The 17,046-nt window shown below is 42.6% G+C and overlaps 1 protein-coding gene across 7 annotated transcripts in view; it reads left to right on the plus strand.

Moving 5' to 3' along the window:
* STK32B (serine/threonine kinase 32B) overlaps positions 1–17,046 on the plus strand; it is a 481,604-nt gene that overhangs the window by 297,605 nt on the left and 166,953 nt on the right. For all 7 annotated transcript variants that reach the window (XM_047415924.1, XM_047415925.1, NM_001306082.2 and 4 more), the window contains one exon: positions 14,230–14,403. In XM_047415924.1, coding sequence (XP_047271880.1) covers positions 14,230–14,403 — 174 coding nt within the window. The remainder of the gene's footprint in view (positions 1–14,229; positions 14,404–17,046) is intronic.

The following is a 17,046-nucleotide window of genomic DNA, read 5'->3' on the forward strand; positions in this document are numbered from 1 at the left end:
ATGATATAATATATAATATATATAATATATAATATATATGATATAATATATTATATATATAATATATATGATATAATATATTATATATTATATATATAATATATATGATATAATATATAATATATATAATACATTATAATATATAATATATATGTATAATATACATATTACATATATATAACATATAATATATATATATAACATATATATATTATATATATAACATATATATATTATATATAACATATATATATTATATATAACATATAACATATATATAATATATAACATATAACATATATATAATATATAATATATAACATATGTATAATATATATTACATATATAATACATATATATAATATATATAATGTATATGTATTATATATATTACATATATATAATATATATAATGTATATGTATTATATATAATACATATATATTACATATATACATAATATATATAATATATATGTATAATATATATATTACATATATATAATATATATTATATATGTATAATATATTTATTATATATATATTACATGTATATATATATATATATATAACTTGAAAAAAATATGTAAGGAGGACATTAGGCTTAACCACTGAAGCAACACTCAGTGAACACTCATGCCCTGGACCAGGCCCTGAGTGGATGCTGGAGGATTCCAGGGAGGTCAGACAAGGTGCCATCTGCAAAGAGCTCCTATTCTTGTTTGGGAGGCTTCTTGGAGAAGGTGACAAGTGATTTCCTTATTTGAAGGATAAACAAAGAGTTAAGAGTTATTGACTTAAAAATCTATTGATGAGCTGCTGTGTTCAGTAGGCATTCATCTAAGTGTTTTGGATAGAACTGTGAAAAATGTAGATCGGCACTTCTCAAAGTGCTGTCCCCATACCAACAGCATCAACATCACCTGAAAATCTGTTAGAATTGCCAAATTTCAGGTTTTGTCCCAGGCCTACCAAGTCAGAAACTCTGAGGTGAGGCCAGCAATCTGTGTTTTCACAAGGTCCCCAGATCCTTCTGAATGCCTGCTGAAGTTTGAGAACCACTGGTAGAGAAAGTCTTGGCTCTCAGGGCTTGCATTTGTGTGTGCTTGTGCACGTGTGTGTGTGTGTGTGCACGCTTGTGTGAATGCATGCACTTGTGTGTGTGATTGGGGGAAAGGGCAGACAGCACACAACAAAACAGGTGAGTAAATGAGATTATTTCATGTAGGGATAAATGTTATGAAGAGAGGTTTATAGGGGCTTAGAAAAAATTTTAGGAAGTCAGAAAGAAGTGGGGCTTCTTAAAACAGGCAGTGAAAGAAGGCCTGCCTGGGGAGTTGTCTTAGGAACTGAGACTAAATGATGAGAAGGAGTGATAGGAAGATGGAGCAGGGAAAAGAACTGTAGGCAAGGAGACTAGCAAGTGCAAAGATCTCAACCCTGGAACAGAAAGAAGAATGAAAGCCAAAATAAATAGATTGAGAAAAAAAAAGTTAGGAGCAAGATAAAATGAAATTGGAGAGTCCTGATCACATAGAGCTTTGTAGGCTAGGTTAAGGGATCCTGAATTTATTCCAGATATATTGGGACATCACTGCAGTGATTTAAATGGTGAATCAGCTAGACCCAGAATCACAGGGTAGGTACTTTCAGACAAGGGAACAGCATAAGAAAAGGTACACAGGTATGAGAGAGAAAGCACATTTGACTAACTCCAAGTCCCTCAGGATGACCAGAGCAAAGAGTTCATTCTGTAGAAGGATGCAGTGGGCTGGATTCATGGCAAAAGCTGTTGAGAATAATAAAAATAGCAAGTATTTTTTTTTTTTGAGACGGAGTCTTGCTCTGTCGCCCACACTGGAGTGCAGTGGCGTGATCTCCACTCACTGCAAGCTCTGCCCCCTGGGTTTATGCCATTCACCTGCCTCAGCCTCCTCAGTATCTGGGACTACAGGTGCCCGCCACCATGCCCAGCTAATTTTTTTGTGTGTATTTTTAGTAGAGATGGGGTTTCACTGTGTTTGCGAGGATGGTCTCGATCTCCTGACCTTGTGATCCACCCGCCTTGGCCTCCCAAAGTGCTGGGATTACAGGCGTGAGCCACCACGCCTGGCTAAAAATAGCAAGTATTTCTCAAGCACTCATTATGTGTCAGTCACTTTTCCAGTCCCTTGACTCATAATAACTCCTGAAATCTTTGAAACACCAGGACGTAAACACCACAATAATTCCTGTATGACTAATGAGGATATGGGGCCCAGAACCTAGGACTTTGCCTCCAGAGCCTGTACACTTCAAAAGGGTTTGTGTGCTCTCCTGAATAGGGCTCATCACTGCTTACCAATGAAGCAATATTGCCTCAACTGCTCTCCTGCCTAAAGCAAAGGTCCTCCAACTAATTGGATATGTAGCTGCCAGAGCAGCTGTTCCAAAACTCAAATCTGACAAGGACTTTCTCCTGTTTCCAAATCCTCAGTGGCTTCCCCTTGTGCAAGAATAAAGTCCAAACTTCTTATCATGACTTACAAAGCCCTTCTTGAAGAGTCTTCTCCTCACTCCCATCTTACCCCTCTCCAGCACGCACCCAGGCATACAGAGCTGGAATCCATGCTCACCACTCCTCTCAGCCTTTGTTCATGCTGTTCCTTATTTCTGGACCATTGTCCTTGCTCTCTGCTCCTCTCTGGTTCTATCAACCAGGGCTCAGCTTCAAGGAAGAGAATACAGTCTTGTTAGTTCAGAAGAAAGAGATTTGTTACAGGGTATGAAATGTCTTCTCAGAATCCCTGGGAGGCAGAAGAGCTGACTCTGGGCTGAAACTCTGAGAGCTCTGCCCAAAGTCACAGGGAGAACTGACCTGCAGAGGATGTGGCTGCCTCTGCTGCGGGTGAGAAGCTGCCTCCCAGAATGAGACCTCAGACCTTGCCCCACTTAGCCATGTCTTATGTGGATGCAACTTACTGAGAAACCTAAATCATGCAGGAACTCTAGCTGCAAGGGAGTCTGTGAAATGAACTTGGCAGATTTCTAGCCTTTGCATTTACAGGAAAGCACACTTGCAGGAGGGTGGAACAGACACTGATGAGCCAATTCAAGTCTCCACTCTACCTAGACGTCTCTTCCCCTTCAGAATCCCTCCCCTTTTTTGATAGGTCCCTCCCCTATGTGTTTCTACACTACCTTATCCTTCCCCTCCTAGAGTACAATGAGCACCTTGAGTAGAGCGGCCACATCTGGTTGATGAATGATTCCCCCTCCCATGATAGGGCCTGGTACATAGTAGGTGTTCAACAAACATTCAGGCATATTCACCCTGCAGAACGCCTCTGCACTTAACATTTTCTTGGTCCAGTGCCTCTTGATTTTCATTACTAAGGCTGCATGGACTGTATTAGGTTGAACCATGTGAAATTGTTATTCCATAGTCAAAATGGTAAGCATTGGCAATTTCACATGGCTTAACCCTGTGTGTATCTATCAGTACTTTTTCAGCTATTGTTTACATTGAAAAAAATTATATTTACAGCCTTGAAACTCAATATAACATTTTTAACAATGTGATATCAGGTCAAGTCTCAAGTTACATTTCAAATACAACTAGTGAAATGTAAGAACCAAGTGTAGTCAGTTTGAAAAATCACATTAAGTATGTATCGCCACAGGGATGTGCGTCTTAGACACTGCTGAGGGTAAACAAGACCATGTTACTGCAAAAGCCCAAAACTAAAACATCATTAACTATATTTAGTGTTTGATCATGAGGATGGAATGGAAACACTTGACATATTAGCAGATGGATATCCTATCTATTTTGTTGTGTTTACATTGTATTTTAAGAAATTGGTTAAGAAATTTGGGTTGAAGAGTGATGCATTGTAATTTTTCCCACTTAAATAATGGGAAATACATTCTTAGTGTCTTCAAACAGAATGACTGGTTTTTAGGAACAGGTCGATTATGTTCAATAGATGATGCATGTATACTGAATGATGAGAAGTGCATCACTGTAGACTCAGAAGAGTATGCACTGTGTAGTTGAAGGGAAGGGTCTTTGAGAGAGTACAAAAGGGCTTTGAAGATGTGGTTGGCAAAAGGATTTCAGAGGGAGGGGGTTGGAGCAAAGCTGAGTGCGACTCTAGGCAAGTTACTCAGCTTCTCTGAACATCAGTTCTGTCACCTCTAAAATAGCCATAATAATGCCTACACCAAAGTGTTGGAAGATTAAGTGAGATCTCCAATGTAAAGAGCTCACATAGAGCAAGGAGCCTCGGTCAATGGTATTAAAAAAAAAGCACTTAGGACCATGGCTACTACATAGGAAGCACTTAGCATATGTGAGTTATCATTTATCCTTTCCCATTCTTTCATTCAATGCCCCTTGTAAGAGAATGCAAGTTATAAATGTCTTTTGGAATTTGGCCCAAGAAGAGCAGTTTGGCTTCATCTTATTTAATCAAGTGGTGAGGGCTGTGTTGGTCATTCCCCATTGCCCTTTGCTTTCTTTCCACTGCTAAGGGAGCAGGAGCTACTGTTTCAGGCTCACTGTCTGTCCCCGTGAACAGTACGTGTGCCTCTCCTTCGTTGTACATTTTTCCCACTATCTCCTCTATCAGTCTTACCTGTCCTTTGTCAGCCACTACAAATTCTTTAGAAGCATGAAGGATATAGATTGAAATAAATAAAACCATGAAGGCACAAGGGCAATATTCTGCATTTATACAGATAGATAGCACTTTACAGTCTGCAAAGCCCCTCCAGTGGGACGGGGGCACCGTGGACCTGAAGCCTGCCTTCACCTCATCACGCGACTGCTCCTGCCCCCAACTGCCTCTGCCTGGAGGTGCTGGATGGCTTTGAGAGGTTCTCATCTTGTCGCCTTGGTCTACGGGAGGCCATTGGAAGCTAACCAGCGTCCTTCGACTTCCTGGGAAGGAGATAGGAGAATCAGTCCAGTGTGAAGAACAATGAGAGCCATCATGTTTGAGTGGCTTCAAGACTCTTGTGCCTCAAGTCAAATTAAAAAAAAAAAAAAAGTGGTGGGAGTGGGGGTGGGGGGTTGGGCTGGCTGAACACAGTGGCTCACACCTGTAATCCCAGCACTTTGGGAGGCCAAGGCAAGAGGATTGGTTGAGGACAGGAGTTCAAGACCAGCCTGGGCAACACAGCAAGATTTTGTCTATGAAAAATAATAATAAGCTTATCATTGTGAATGTTATTAAAGACATGTATCAGGCACAAGTCAGGCTTGATAAGCTCTTTTTTCCTCGTACAATATGAGCTGTCAGAAGGCCGAGCGCTCCATTGTTGGATTTCTGTAGCGTGTGAGGCTATTCTTAGCTCCTCTCTTGCTGGCTGTTACATTTTTAAGAATCGCTAGAGGTGAGCATAGTGAGTGAGACCTCCCCTCCATCTGCTACCCTCGGAGGTCAGATGGAATGGAAAGTGGCCTGAGGAGATGCTCAGCTCATTGCCCCTGCAGTTGCCACACAGTAAAAACACAGGAGATGAGTGTTGTAGACATGTGGTTTGTCCTGGCTGCCAAGATTTTCTGAATCCCACAGAGTCATCTCTGGGCACCCAGTGACTTTTGCCTCAGGAAGAAGAAGTGGAGAAAGGTGGCTGTTTCAAATAGTTCAAGTGGCATTGTGCTGCCTGGAGACTAAGAAAGGTCTAGGGTTTCCTCCAGACTCTTCCTTTCCCTTTCCAGCCCTCCCCTACCTTTAACAACTGCACAAGGTTTGTGGATGCTACACTGTTTGCCAGGCCCTGGGCAAGGTGAGATGGAGAGTCAGTCACTCATCAGGTAAGAGGAGGAGCTGAACCAAGCTTTTCCAACTCCAGATTTCCCCCAGCAACAGGCACTGCCTCCCTCATATGTGTTCACGTGTATTTCATGTGTTATCAGCATGGCTGACCTTTAGTTTGTAAGCAGCCTCCAAGGCTGATGATTGAGTACATGACATGCTTTCCAAGAAAACTGACCTAGTGACCTTGGACCAGTCAACCTCTCTTGTCCTTGGTTTCCTCCATTGGGCAATTGAGGGTGATAATGCCCACGTCCCACGGTTAGTTGGGACAAGTGTTAAGGGATGAGCAGGGGGTCTGTGAAGAGCACCTCTCCTCCCTTCTCGATTTTAGGACTAATTGAGAGACAGGAGTCTGACAGGTGGAGGTGGAAGTATCCACTTCATGCTAACAGTCAGTCAGAGAAACCCACTTTAGATTGGTAGCCAAAACGGCTTGCTACCTCTTGAGTTCTGAAATGGAATCACCTCCGAGGCACAGGAAACGGTGATCACCTGCAAGTCCCCCTCCACCAGCCAGGCCCTGGCTGTTGCAGAGAGCAGACAGGAGTGTAAGCCCACTATGAGCAGGTTCTGAAGCAGAAGGGGAGCCCGAGGGGACTGTGCTGAGCACGGCTGCTTCTTCTGGACTCCCTCATCAGGTCTATCACTTCTGCACCCTGCAAGGGAGGGAGACGGCTATGGGGAGAGACTGGTGAGTCACTCAGGCTAATGGGAGTCCCTGGTCTCTGTGACAAGAAGAGGCCAGAGAAAAAGGAGGTTCCTGTAGGTAGTGACATAAACAGCAGGGCCTAGCACCCTTCCTTCCCCATCAACCCTCTACCCTCTGTCTTTTTTCTGTACAATGCCCCACTTCTGTGTAGACATCATTGACTGACCCAATGTGCCACACAGAATATGGGTGTTTCAGGCGTTTGTGGCTTTTTCATTCCGGAGTGTGTGGAATGCTCCTGGCTATGTGCTAAATGCAGGGGATGGTGCTGAATTAGCTAGGTCCCTGCACTCAGAGTTCACTGGCTGGTGGGGAAAAGAGACCAGAAGAGCAATGGTGACTTGGCCACAAGGAAAGTGCTATAGGGCATCAAGCACAGAGTCTAGGTTCTGGACATGGACTATCTTGGCTCAGTCCCAGCTCTGCTATTCCCTGGCTGTCATCTTGGACATGTTACTTAATCTCTCTGAACCTCATGGTCTTGAGCTATCGAAGGCAGTTTGTAATAACTCCTATCTCAAAGGATTGTTGGGAACATTAAATGAGCGCATATACGTAAAGCACTTAGGCCGGGCACGGCAGCTCACACCTGTAATCCTAGCACTTTGGGAGGCCGATGCAGGAAGATCACTTGAGGTCGGGAGTTCAAGACCAGTCTGGCCAACATGATGAAACCTTGTCACTTTTAAAAATATAAAAGCTAGTCAGGTGTGGTGGCATGGGCCTGTAATCCCAGCTACTGGGGAGGGTGAGGCAGGATAATTGCTTGAACCCAGGAGGCAGAGGTTGCAGTGAGCCAAGATTGCACCACTGCACCCCAGCCTGGGCAACAGAGGGAGACTCCATCTCAAAAAATAAAAATAAGAAAATAAGGCACTTAGAACGGTGTCTGGCACAGAATTTGCACCACATCAGTGTTAACTGTTATTATTATAAGGGACTAGGGGGTCACCTGCCTCAGTTTCCGGGGTTAGGGAAGGCTTCTTAAAGGAGGGAGCGTCAGTCTTAAGCAGGGTTTTTCAACCTCAGCACTGTTGCCATTTTGCAGTAGGTGATTGTGGTGGAGGCCGTCCTGTGCATTGTAGGATATTTAGCAGCATCTCTGGCTCCAACTCACTAGATGACAGCAGCATCCCTCCAAATTGTGACAACAAAAACTGTCTCCACACATTGTCCAATGTTCCCAGGGGAGCAAAACTGCTCTGGGTTTGGGAACCCTGCACTATGCTGAGAAGTGAGTGATGGACAAGAGGACAGAGGTGGTACACCAGGAATAAGGAATATTGTGGGTGAACGTGTGGAATTGTGAGAGTGTGGGTCCATCCAGGGACTTGTCCTAACATGACGGCAAAATCTGGGCTCCCTTATGAAATCTTAAGCCCAGGTGAGCACTCATGTGCCGACTTCTCCCACTAAATCCTTGGCTTCTTGCAAGGACCAAATGCATGGGAGAAGCCTACTGAGTACTTGCTGCTGTGCGTGCGAGCCTGTCTTCGTGAAGTAGTCCCTGAAGAACATTCACCTCGTGCTCTGCTCTAAATTTATCCTGGTATGAAGAAAGTTCATCCGTGAGCATGACGCACAGCCTCATTGCTTTACCCCATGTGGCATTGCTTCTATGAAATTGGATTTTTAATGCCTTCAGCCTACCTTGAAGCACATCATGCAAAAAATTCCTGTTCCACTTATTACTGTGTTTAGAGTTATTTTATGTAGACTCATGGTTCACCACATTACAGAACACCATCTTCATAAGAATCCAGTGGAAGAAATTTCCCACTGATTTCAGTACCAGGACAAAAATCTTGCTTTTCCTAAACAATTGTTTTTTTTTTCCACATCAGCTCTGAATCATGTAGCTGATCATGTTTCTCTTTTTGCTCTGTGTGCTGGGGAGATTTGAGACACATTGATGGGCCATTTCAGGGAAGCATACAGGATCTTGAGGCATAAATTGGGGTATTTTTTCCTGATTCTGTTTTCTTGGATTTCTTTTTTATTCTGTGACTTGATCTTTGTCTTCCTTATTTTTAATTCTATTATGTTATATACATTTCACAAGTCACCTGAATCCTTTCTGGAACAAAGTAGGAAATTAATAATTTTTTAAAAAATAAAACATGGAAAATCGCATTCTTTATGCAGTTCTATTGCAATAGCCAGGCCAGGATTTAGGCCTTCACAGCACACAATTTTCTTTGCTCTTGCAAGGAGAGCCTAATTTTCCAGATTTTTCCATAGGTCAGAGTTACTGTGATAGAGCTTAGCTTTCTTATTTGTGATCTCCATCATTTCCATGACAATGTTCAGCACTATTATGAGAATATAATTCTAATTCTAATACAAGAAGCAAAAGGGACAATGTCACAAAGCTGTAGAATAGTGCAAAACTACAGAGAGATAAATGAAAGGTCATTCTGTGTTCTCCAGTAATAATATTGAGTGTCTCTGGGAATGTAGGGTCTGTGGCCTGGTGAAGAATGTGGATCTGCAGCAAGAAAAAGCCACAACCTGAATTATTGCTTAAAATATTGTTCTCTTAGCATTTTGATTTTCCTCTTTAGAATTCATTCCAGTATGCAAGTTTCCCTCTGAAAATTCATGTTGCTCCTCCAAAGAGTTGTGATGGAATACTGAATGAGATGCCCTTTGACAGTTTAGCTGTGAGTTGAGAGTACAGAACTCGCTGGTTATTAATGCAATGTTTCAATAGTCCATCAACTATTAGAATACAAATTGTGCATCTGTAGTCGGCATATTATGTTTGATTCCTGTGTTTTCTTTTGGGGCATCTATATTCTTCTATCCAGTAGCAAATACATGAAAAGTTGTAACTCAGTTCCAAGTCACAGAAATTCAAAGTAAAGTAGCTTAATTAAAAAAAATAAAAACAGTCATTGCCCATGTAAATATGAAGTTCAGGGATGGATCTTTCTTCTGACTAGGTGGGAGCCAGTACCTCCAACAGTGCCTCTTTCTGCATTTAGCTCCCAGCCCTGCTTCCCTCTCTGCAGGTTCTCTCCCTAGACAGGTCTTATTGACATTTTTTCGTTTTCTAGTGCCTTTAAAAGTTATGTTTATACTACACTGTATTCAGTGTGCAACAGCATTATGTCTAAAAAGTGTACATACTTTCATCTAAAATACTTGTTAGCTACAATGCTAACACTCATCTGAGCCTTCTTTCAACAAGTCACAGTCTTTTTGCAGGTGGAGGGTCTTTCCTCAATGTTGATGGCTGCTTACTGATCAGAGTGGTGGTTGCTGAAGGTTGGGGTGACTGTGAAAATTTCTTAAAATAAGAAAACAATGAAGCTTTCCACGATGATGGAGTCTTCACTTCATGAAATATTTCTCTATAGCAAGTGGTGCTGTTTGATAGCATTTTGCCCACAGTAGAACTTCTTTCAAAAGTGGAGTCAGTCCTCTCAAATCCTACAGCCGCTTTATCAACTAAGCTTATGTAATATTCTAAACCTCTTGTGTCATTTTAACAATGTGTACAGCACCTTCATCAGGAGCAGATTCCATCTCAAGAAGCTCGTTTCTTCCTTATCCTTAGGGGAAACAACTCAACTCCTCATCTCTTAACGTTTTATCGTGAGATGGCAGCAATTTAGTCACATTTTCAGGTTCCACTTCTGATTCTAGTACTTTTGCTACTTTTACCACGTCTGCAGTTCCTTCCTCCACTGAAGTCTTGAACCCCTCATAGTCATCCATGAGGGTTAGAATCCACTTCTTCCAAACTCCTGTTAATGTTAGTACTTTGACCTTTTCTCATGAATCATGAATGTTCTTAATGACAATCTAGTATGGCGAATCCTTTCCAGAAGATTTTCAATTTACTTTGCCCAGATCCATCAAAGCAATCACTATCTATGGCAGTTATAGTCTTACAAAATGCATTTCTTAAATAATAAGTGTCAAAGGTCAAAATTACTTCTTTATCCATTAGCTGCAGGATGGATGTTGTTTTATCATGAAAACAACATTAATCTTGTACATCTCCATCTGAGCTCTTGGGTGACTAAGAGTGGTAATATTTTGAAAGGAATTTTTTTTTGAGAAGTAGGTCTCAGCATTGGGTCTAAAATATTTGGTAAATTTTGCTGTAAACTGGTGTGCTGTCATCTGGGGTTTTTTATTCCACTTATAGAACACAGGCAATAGATTTAGCATAATTCTTAAGGGCCCTGGTATTTTCAAAATGGTAAATGAGCATTGGCTTCAACTTAAAGTGACCAGCTGCTAAAACAAGAGAGCCTCCCTAGTGAGAGAGCCTTTCCTTTGACCCTTTGAAGCCAGGCATTGACTTCTCCTCTCCAGCTATGAAAGTCCTAAATGACATCTACTTCCAATATAAAGCTATTTGCTATTTTATCTACTTTGAAAATCTCCTGTTTGGTGTATTCACCTTCACCAGTGATCTGAGCTAGATCTTCTGGGTAACTTGCTGCAGCTTCTCCATCAACACCTGCTGCTTCACCTTGTGCTTTTATGTTCTGGAGATGGCGTCTTTTCTTTAACCTCATGAACCAACCTTTGCTAGCTTCCAGCTCTTTTTCTGCAACTCCCTCACCTCTCTCAGCATTCATAGAACTGAAGAGAGTTAAGGCCTTGCTCTGGATTAGGATTTGTCTTAAGGGAATGTTGTAGCTGATTTGATCTTCTGTCTAGACCACTAAAATTTCCTCCCTATCAGCAATAAGGCTGTTTGGCTTTCATGTCTTACATGCGTTCATTGGAGTAGCAATTTTTATTTCCTTTGCATTTATAACTTGGCCAACTTTATGTTGTAAGAGTCTAGCTTTCAGCCTATCTTGGCATTTGGCATGTCTTTCTCATTAGGCTTAATCATTTCTAGTACTTGATGTAAACTGAGAGATGTGTGATTCTTCCATTCACTTGAACACTTACAGGCCTTTGTAGAGTTATTAACTGGCCTAATTTCAATATTGTTATGCCTCAGGGAATAGAAAGGCCCAAGGAGAAAGTGAGAGATGGGAAACTACTGGTCAGTGGAGCATGAGAACACATCCAACCTTTATCCATGAAGCTTTGGGTGCTATATGGATGCCATTTGAGGAGCTTCAAAGCAATTGTAATAGTAACATCAAAGACCATTTATCATAGATCACTATAGGAGATATAATAATGTTTGAAATTTTGCAAGAATTACCAAAATGTGACACAGAGATACAAACTGAGCACATGCTATTGGAAAATTGACACTGATAGACTTACTGGAGGCAGGGTTGCCGCAAACCTTCAATTTGTAAGAAAGTGAAGTGCAGTAAAACAAGGTAGTCCTGTGCTTCCCAGCGAGGCTGTATTACTTACATGCTCCTCTCTTTGTTGAGGGGGAGGAGCATGGATGAGGTTATACTGGCCCTGAAACAGATCTGAAGTCCAGCTGGTGGCCGGGCGCGGTGGCTCATGCCTATAATCCCAACACTTTGGGAGGCCAAGAGTGAGAGTGAGAATAATAATTAATAATACCAACAATAATAAAAACTTTCTGGGCAAACAAAAATATTCTAACTGAAACTTCTGGAAATAGTGCCTTGAAACTGTGACAGGAATATTGGGAACGTCCTGGGTACTCTGGGTGCCTCTGCCTAGAAAGGCAGAAGGGCCTTTCAGCACAGAACAGCCTGGGAGAAAGACAGCATCTTCAGCCCTGCACCCTCCACCATCACAGCACTTCCTGTGAGTCTCTGATAGGAGACACTTCATTCCATCCCGTGAGGTTTGTTCCAGTCTCTCATTCCATGAGGAGCAGGGACTGTATCTTACTCCACTCCTGCCCATCCATGTCACCATGGTGACTCCCAAAGGTGGCCCTCCGCTGTTTGTGCAGGTTGTGGGTACTGCGCCATGATCCAGCCTCCCGCCATGGGTCATGCTGTTTCTCTCTCTGTCTGAGTCACACAGCCTGTGCGTTCCTGACCCAGTAAACCCCTCATGGGTAAAGACTTTCCCAATTCCTCCCACCCACCTTCACCTGCTAGAGCACTGGCCTCCTCCTTTCCCACACTCGCCTGCACCCTGGAAAGACTCCTAGAATGCCAGCCCGTGCATTGTCAGTGACTGTCAGCCCAGCCCCTCCCAGGGCACTGTGCACGCCTCCAGGGCGAAGACAGTTTCTTTGTCCCAGTGTCCCCAGCACGTAGCCCAATGCCTATCAGACAGTAGGTGTTCCATAAGCCTCTGGTAAATTCATGATCTGGGGACGCAATAAACAGCCCCCTTCCTTGCCTTAATTCTGAACAATTATGAACAATGGGTAAGATACACAAAGAGGATATGACTTGTGTCCAGCCATCTCCTCTTTCCTGGACCCCAGTCTCTGTAATGGGAGCTGGAGGGGATTTGAGGTCCTTCCAACCCTGGAATTCCCTGTCCTGTAAGCATGTGGTTCTGTTGCCTGTCCTGGGACCAAATCATGCACCAGGCTCCCTCCCCAGGGCTGCACACCCAGGATACTGGAACATAGTGTGGGTGCATTACAGCAACATCCCCACAGTGTATGGTCATCAGGACACTGCAGCGAGTGAGAGTCAGGGGATTTGGGTTCTTGTCCTCACACTTACAATGACTCACCAAGTCCCTTCTTCCCTCTGGGCCTCAGTTTCCTGTTCTGTTAAGTGAGGGGAAGGACCTTGCTGATTCGGTCTAATATCTGAGGATCTAAGACACAGGTCTAAGCTTCCATGATTACATTATGCAATTCTGTGATTAATATTACATGATTCAATTATTATACCCTGTAAGTCTACAATGAACTTGACAACAGTTTGTGATGTGATGCTATACTACAATTGTTTAACAACAATCTCAGATTCTATGTGTTGGCTCTTCAGTCCTTAGAAAGCCCAAATGCATTTTGTTAAATGAATTTGGTACTGTATCAATTTTCTACTGTTTCAAAAACAAAACAAAATACCACCCTAAAACTTAATGGTGTGAAAACACCACCATTTAATCATCTCATGTTCTGTGGGGTAACTGGGCTCAGCTGGGCTGTTCTTCTGCTCCATGTGATATCTGGGGTTGCCATGGAATATCAAAATGCTCAAGGTAGCTCACTCGCATGGCAGGCAGTGGTGCTGGCTGTCACTGGGAACTCAGCTGTGGATCTGGTTTTCCTTCTCTTGGCCTCTCCATGTGGCTTGCATCTGGCTGGGTTCCAAGAGGCAAAAATTAGAAACTGCCCATTCCCTTAAGGCCTAGACTTGGATGTCCCATAACACCACTGCATTCAAGAGTTGCAGAAACAAGCTCCATATGGAGAGCAGCATGCATATGCAGGGAATGGAGGGAATGTTTGGGAGGGGAGTGTGTCTTTGGAGGCTAGCTCCTACGAACAGTGACACCATCTAATTAAAGCACCTGCTAAAAACGGATGAAGAAACATGCTGGAGTCCAGTAGTAGTTAAACTGTCATCTGTCTGCCAGAGCCTGGGAACTAATGCTGGGTACTCCTGCTTGCCTTTGCTATGTAAGAAATGAGGAAACCCCAACAAATGTGGAGGCAGCCTGAGGATTGAAAGCCTTTTCCCCTTCCCCTCCACTCCCATAGCACCATGACTCAGGCAACTCAGTGCCTCTCTCTGAGCCTCAGTTTGCTCTTCTGTAAAATGGAGGCATTGGTCTTGAGGGTGCTGAAGGTGCCTCCACCCCTAATCTTCTCTGTCCTTCTGTGCTCCTAGGTACTCCTTCCAGGATGAGGAGGACATGTTCATGGTGGTGGACCTGCTCCTGGGAGGCGACCTGCGCTACCATCTGCAGCAGAATGTGCATTTCACAGAGGGGACTGTGAAACTCTACATCTGTGAGCTGGCACTGGCCCTGGAGTATCTTCAGAGGTACCACATCATCCACAGGTAACTGGGCTGCTGGCGGGATGCCTGGGACAGAGGGACCATGGGCTAGGGTGTCAGGAGCAGTCTGCAGTAGTGGGGAGAGAATTTTGTCCTTGACATGGTTTAAAAGTGGTAGTGCATGAGGGAAAAAAGCAGAACACTTTTCTTCCTATTTTTTTATGTTTTCTACAACCAGCACCTACATCTCCCATCCTATACCCGTACACTACTGTTTAGAGACATGGCTGGTGGCTGGCCTTATCTTCTCTGCTCCAGTATGCCTAGGGAAGCTGGAACATTCTGTCTCTCCTGTCTCAAGTCAGAAGAGTTACAGGAGCATTATTATACTAGTGAGCTGGGAGTGTGAGGGATTCTACTCTCTTTTTTTCTGTACTTAGAAATCAGTGCTGTGCATCGTGGAGGATTTCTTTCTCTTAGGAAGCCTCAGTGCTGGCTCTGGGCTTTGCATAAAAGCTCTGAGTTTCTGTAGCCTCCTCAGGGACCTTACTTCTCCCTGCTATGCACAGCAGTGCCATGTCCTACACAGGTGAGCAAAGTGACTTTGCCTGCAGAAGCTGGAACTCAATGAGAGGCTTTGGAAAGTGATTGTATCATTCATAAATGTTCTCACTGACCCCAGAAGAGGCAGCTGGTGTGAGAGGCTCCAAATTGGTTTACCCATGGTCTTGCACTGTGCTTAGCTGATATCCTTGTAACTTAACTAATTTTGAAAGATTTGGAAAAGATGAGGACTTGAACTTCTAGGTAAAGATGACAGATTAAGCATATACGTCTAAATTTTTCCCTTGTTAAACTCCATTAAATGACAGTAAGGAATGTTTGAAAAGTGATAAAGTTATGAAGATAGGGAACACTGAAAGGGGACTACAGTCAAAACATGGGGGAAGCTGGGAAGAAAGATGTAGAGTGATCGATGACTTAGGAAACGGGAAACTGAATTTAATGTTGCTACTGGGGAGAGTCAATAACTAATAGATGCTAAAGAATTCCCCAAAAGCTCAGGAATTGGCAGCACCTGGTATCTATGGAATGGGGGCAGTTGGTGAAAAGAGGCTATAATAAGGCGAATTGTTGAAAACTTCTTTTTATTTTTATTTTTGTTTTATTTTATTATTATTATACTTTAAGTTTTAGGGTACATTTGCACAATGTGCAGGTTAGTTACATATGTATACATGTGCCATGCTGGTGTGCTGCACCCAATAACTCGTCATTTAGCATTAGATATATCTCCTAATGCTATCCCTCCCCGCTGCCTCCACCCCACAACAGTCCCCAGAGTGTGATGTTCCCCTTCCTGTGTCCGTGTGTTATCATTGTTCAGTTCCCATCTATGAGTGAGAACATGCGGTGTTTGGTTTTTTGTCCTTGCCATAGTTTACTGAGAATGATGATTTCCAATTTCATCCGTGTCTCAAAAAGGACATGAACTCATCATTTTTTATGGCTGCATAGTATTCCATGGTGTATATGTGCCACATTTTCTTAATCCAGTTTATCATTGTTGGACATTTGGGTTGGTTCCAAGTCTTTGCTATTGTGAATAGTGCCGCAATAAACATAAGTGTGCATGTGTCTTTATAACAGCATGATTTATAGTCGTTTGGGTATATACCCAGTAATGGGATGGCTGGGTCAAATGGTATTTCTAGTTCTGGATCCCTGAGGAATCGCCACACTGACTTCCACAATGGTTGAACTAGTTTACAGTCCCACCAACAGTGTAAAAGTGTTCCTATTTCTCCACATCCTCTCCAGCACCTGTTGTTTCCTGACTTTTTAATGATTGCCATTCTAACTGGTGTGAGATGGTATCTCATTGTGGTTTTGATTTGCATTTCTCTGATGGCCAGTGATGGTGAGCATTTGGCTGCATAAATGTCTTCTTTTGAGAAGTGTCTGTTCATGTCCTTTGCCCACTTTTTGATGGGGTTGTTTTTTTCTTGTAAATTTGTTTGAGTTCATTGTAGATTCTGGATATTAGCCCTTTGTCAGATGAGTAGGTTGGGAAAATGTTCTCCCATTTTGTAGGTTGCCTGTTCACTCTGATGGTAGTTTCTTTGCTGTGCAGAAGCTCTTTAGTTTAATGAGATCCCATTTGTCAATTTTGGCTTTTGTTGCCATTGCTTTTGGTGTTTTAGACATGAAGTCCTTGCCCATGCCTATGTCCTGAATGGTAATGCCTAGGTTTTCTTCTAGAGTTTTTATGGTTTTAGGTCTGACATTTAAGACTTTAATCCTTTTTGAATTAATTTTTGTATAAGGTGTAAGGAAGGGATCCAGTTTCAGCTTTCTCCATATGGCTAGCCAGTTTTCCCAGCACCATTTATTAAATAGGGAATCCTTTCCCCATTGCTTGTTTTTCTCAGGTTTGTCAAAGATCAGATAGTTGTAGATATGCGGCTTATTTCTGAGGGCTCTGTTGTGTTCCATTGATGTATATCTCTCTTTTGGTACCAGTACCGTGCTGTTTTGGTTACTGTAACCTTGTAGTATAGTTTGAAGTCAGGTAGCATGATGCCTCCAGCTTTGTTCTTTTGGCTTAGGATTGACTTGGCGATGCGAGCTCTTTTTTGGTTCCATATGAACTTTAAAGTAGTTTTTTTCCAATTCTGTGAAGAAAGTCATTGGTAGCTTGATGGG

Source organism: Homo sapiens, chromosome 4 (assembly GCF_000001405.40).
Source record: "Homo sapiens chromosome 4, GRCh38.p14 Primary Assembly".
Taxonomy (NCBI): Eukaryota; Metazoa; Chordata; class Mammalia; order Primates; family Hominidae; genus Homo; species Homo sapiens.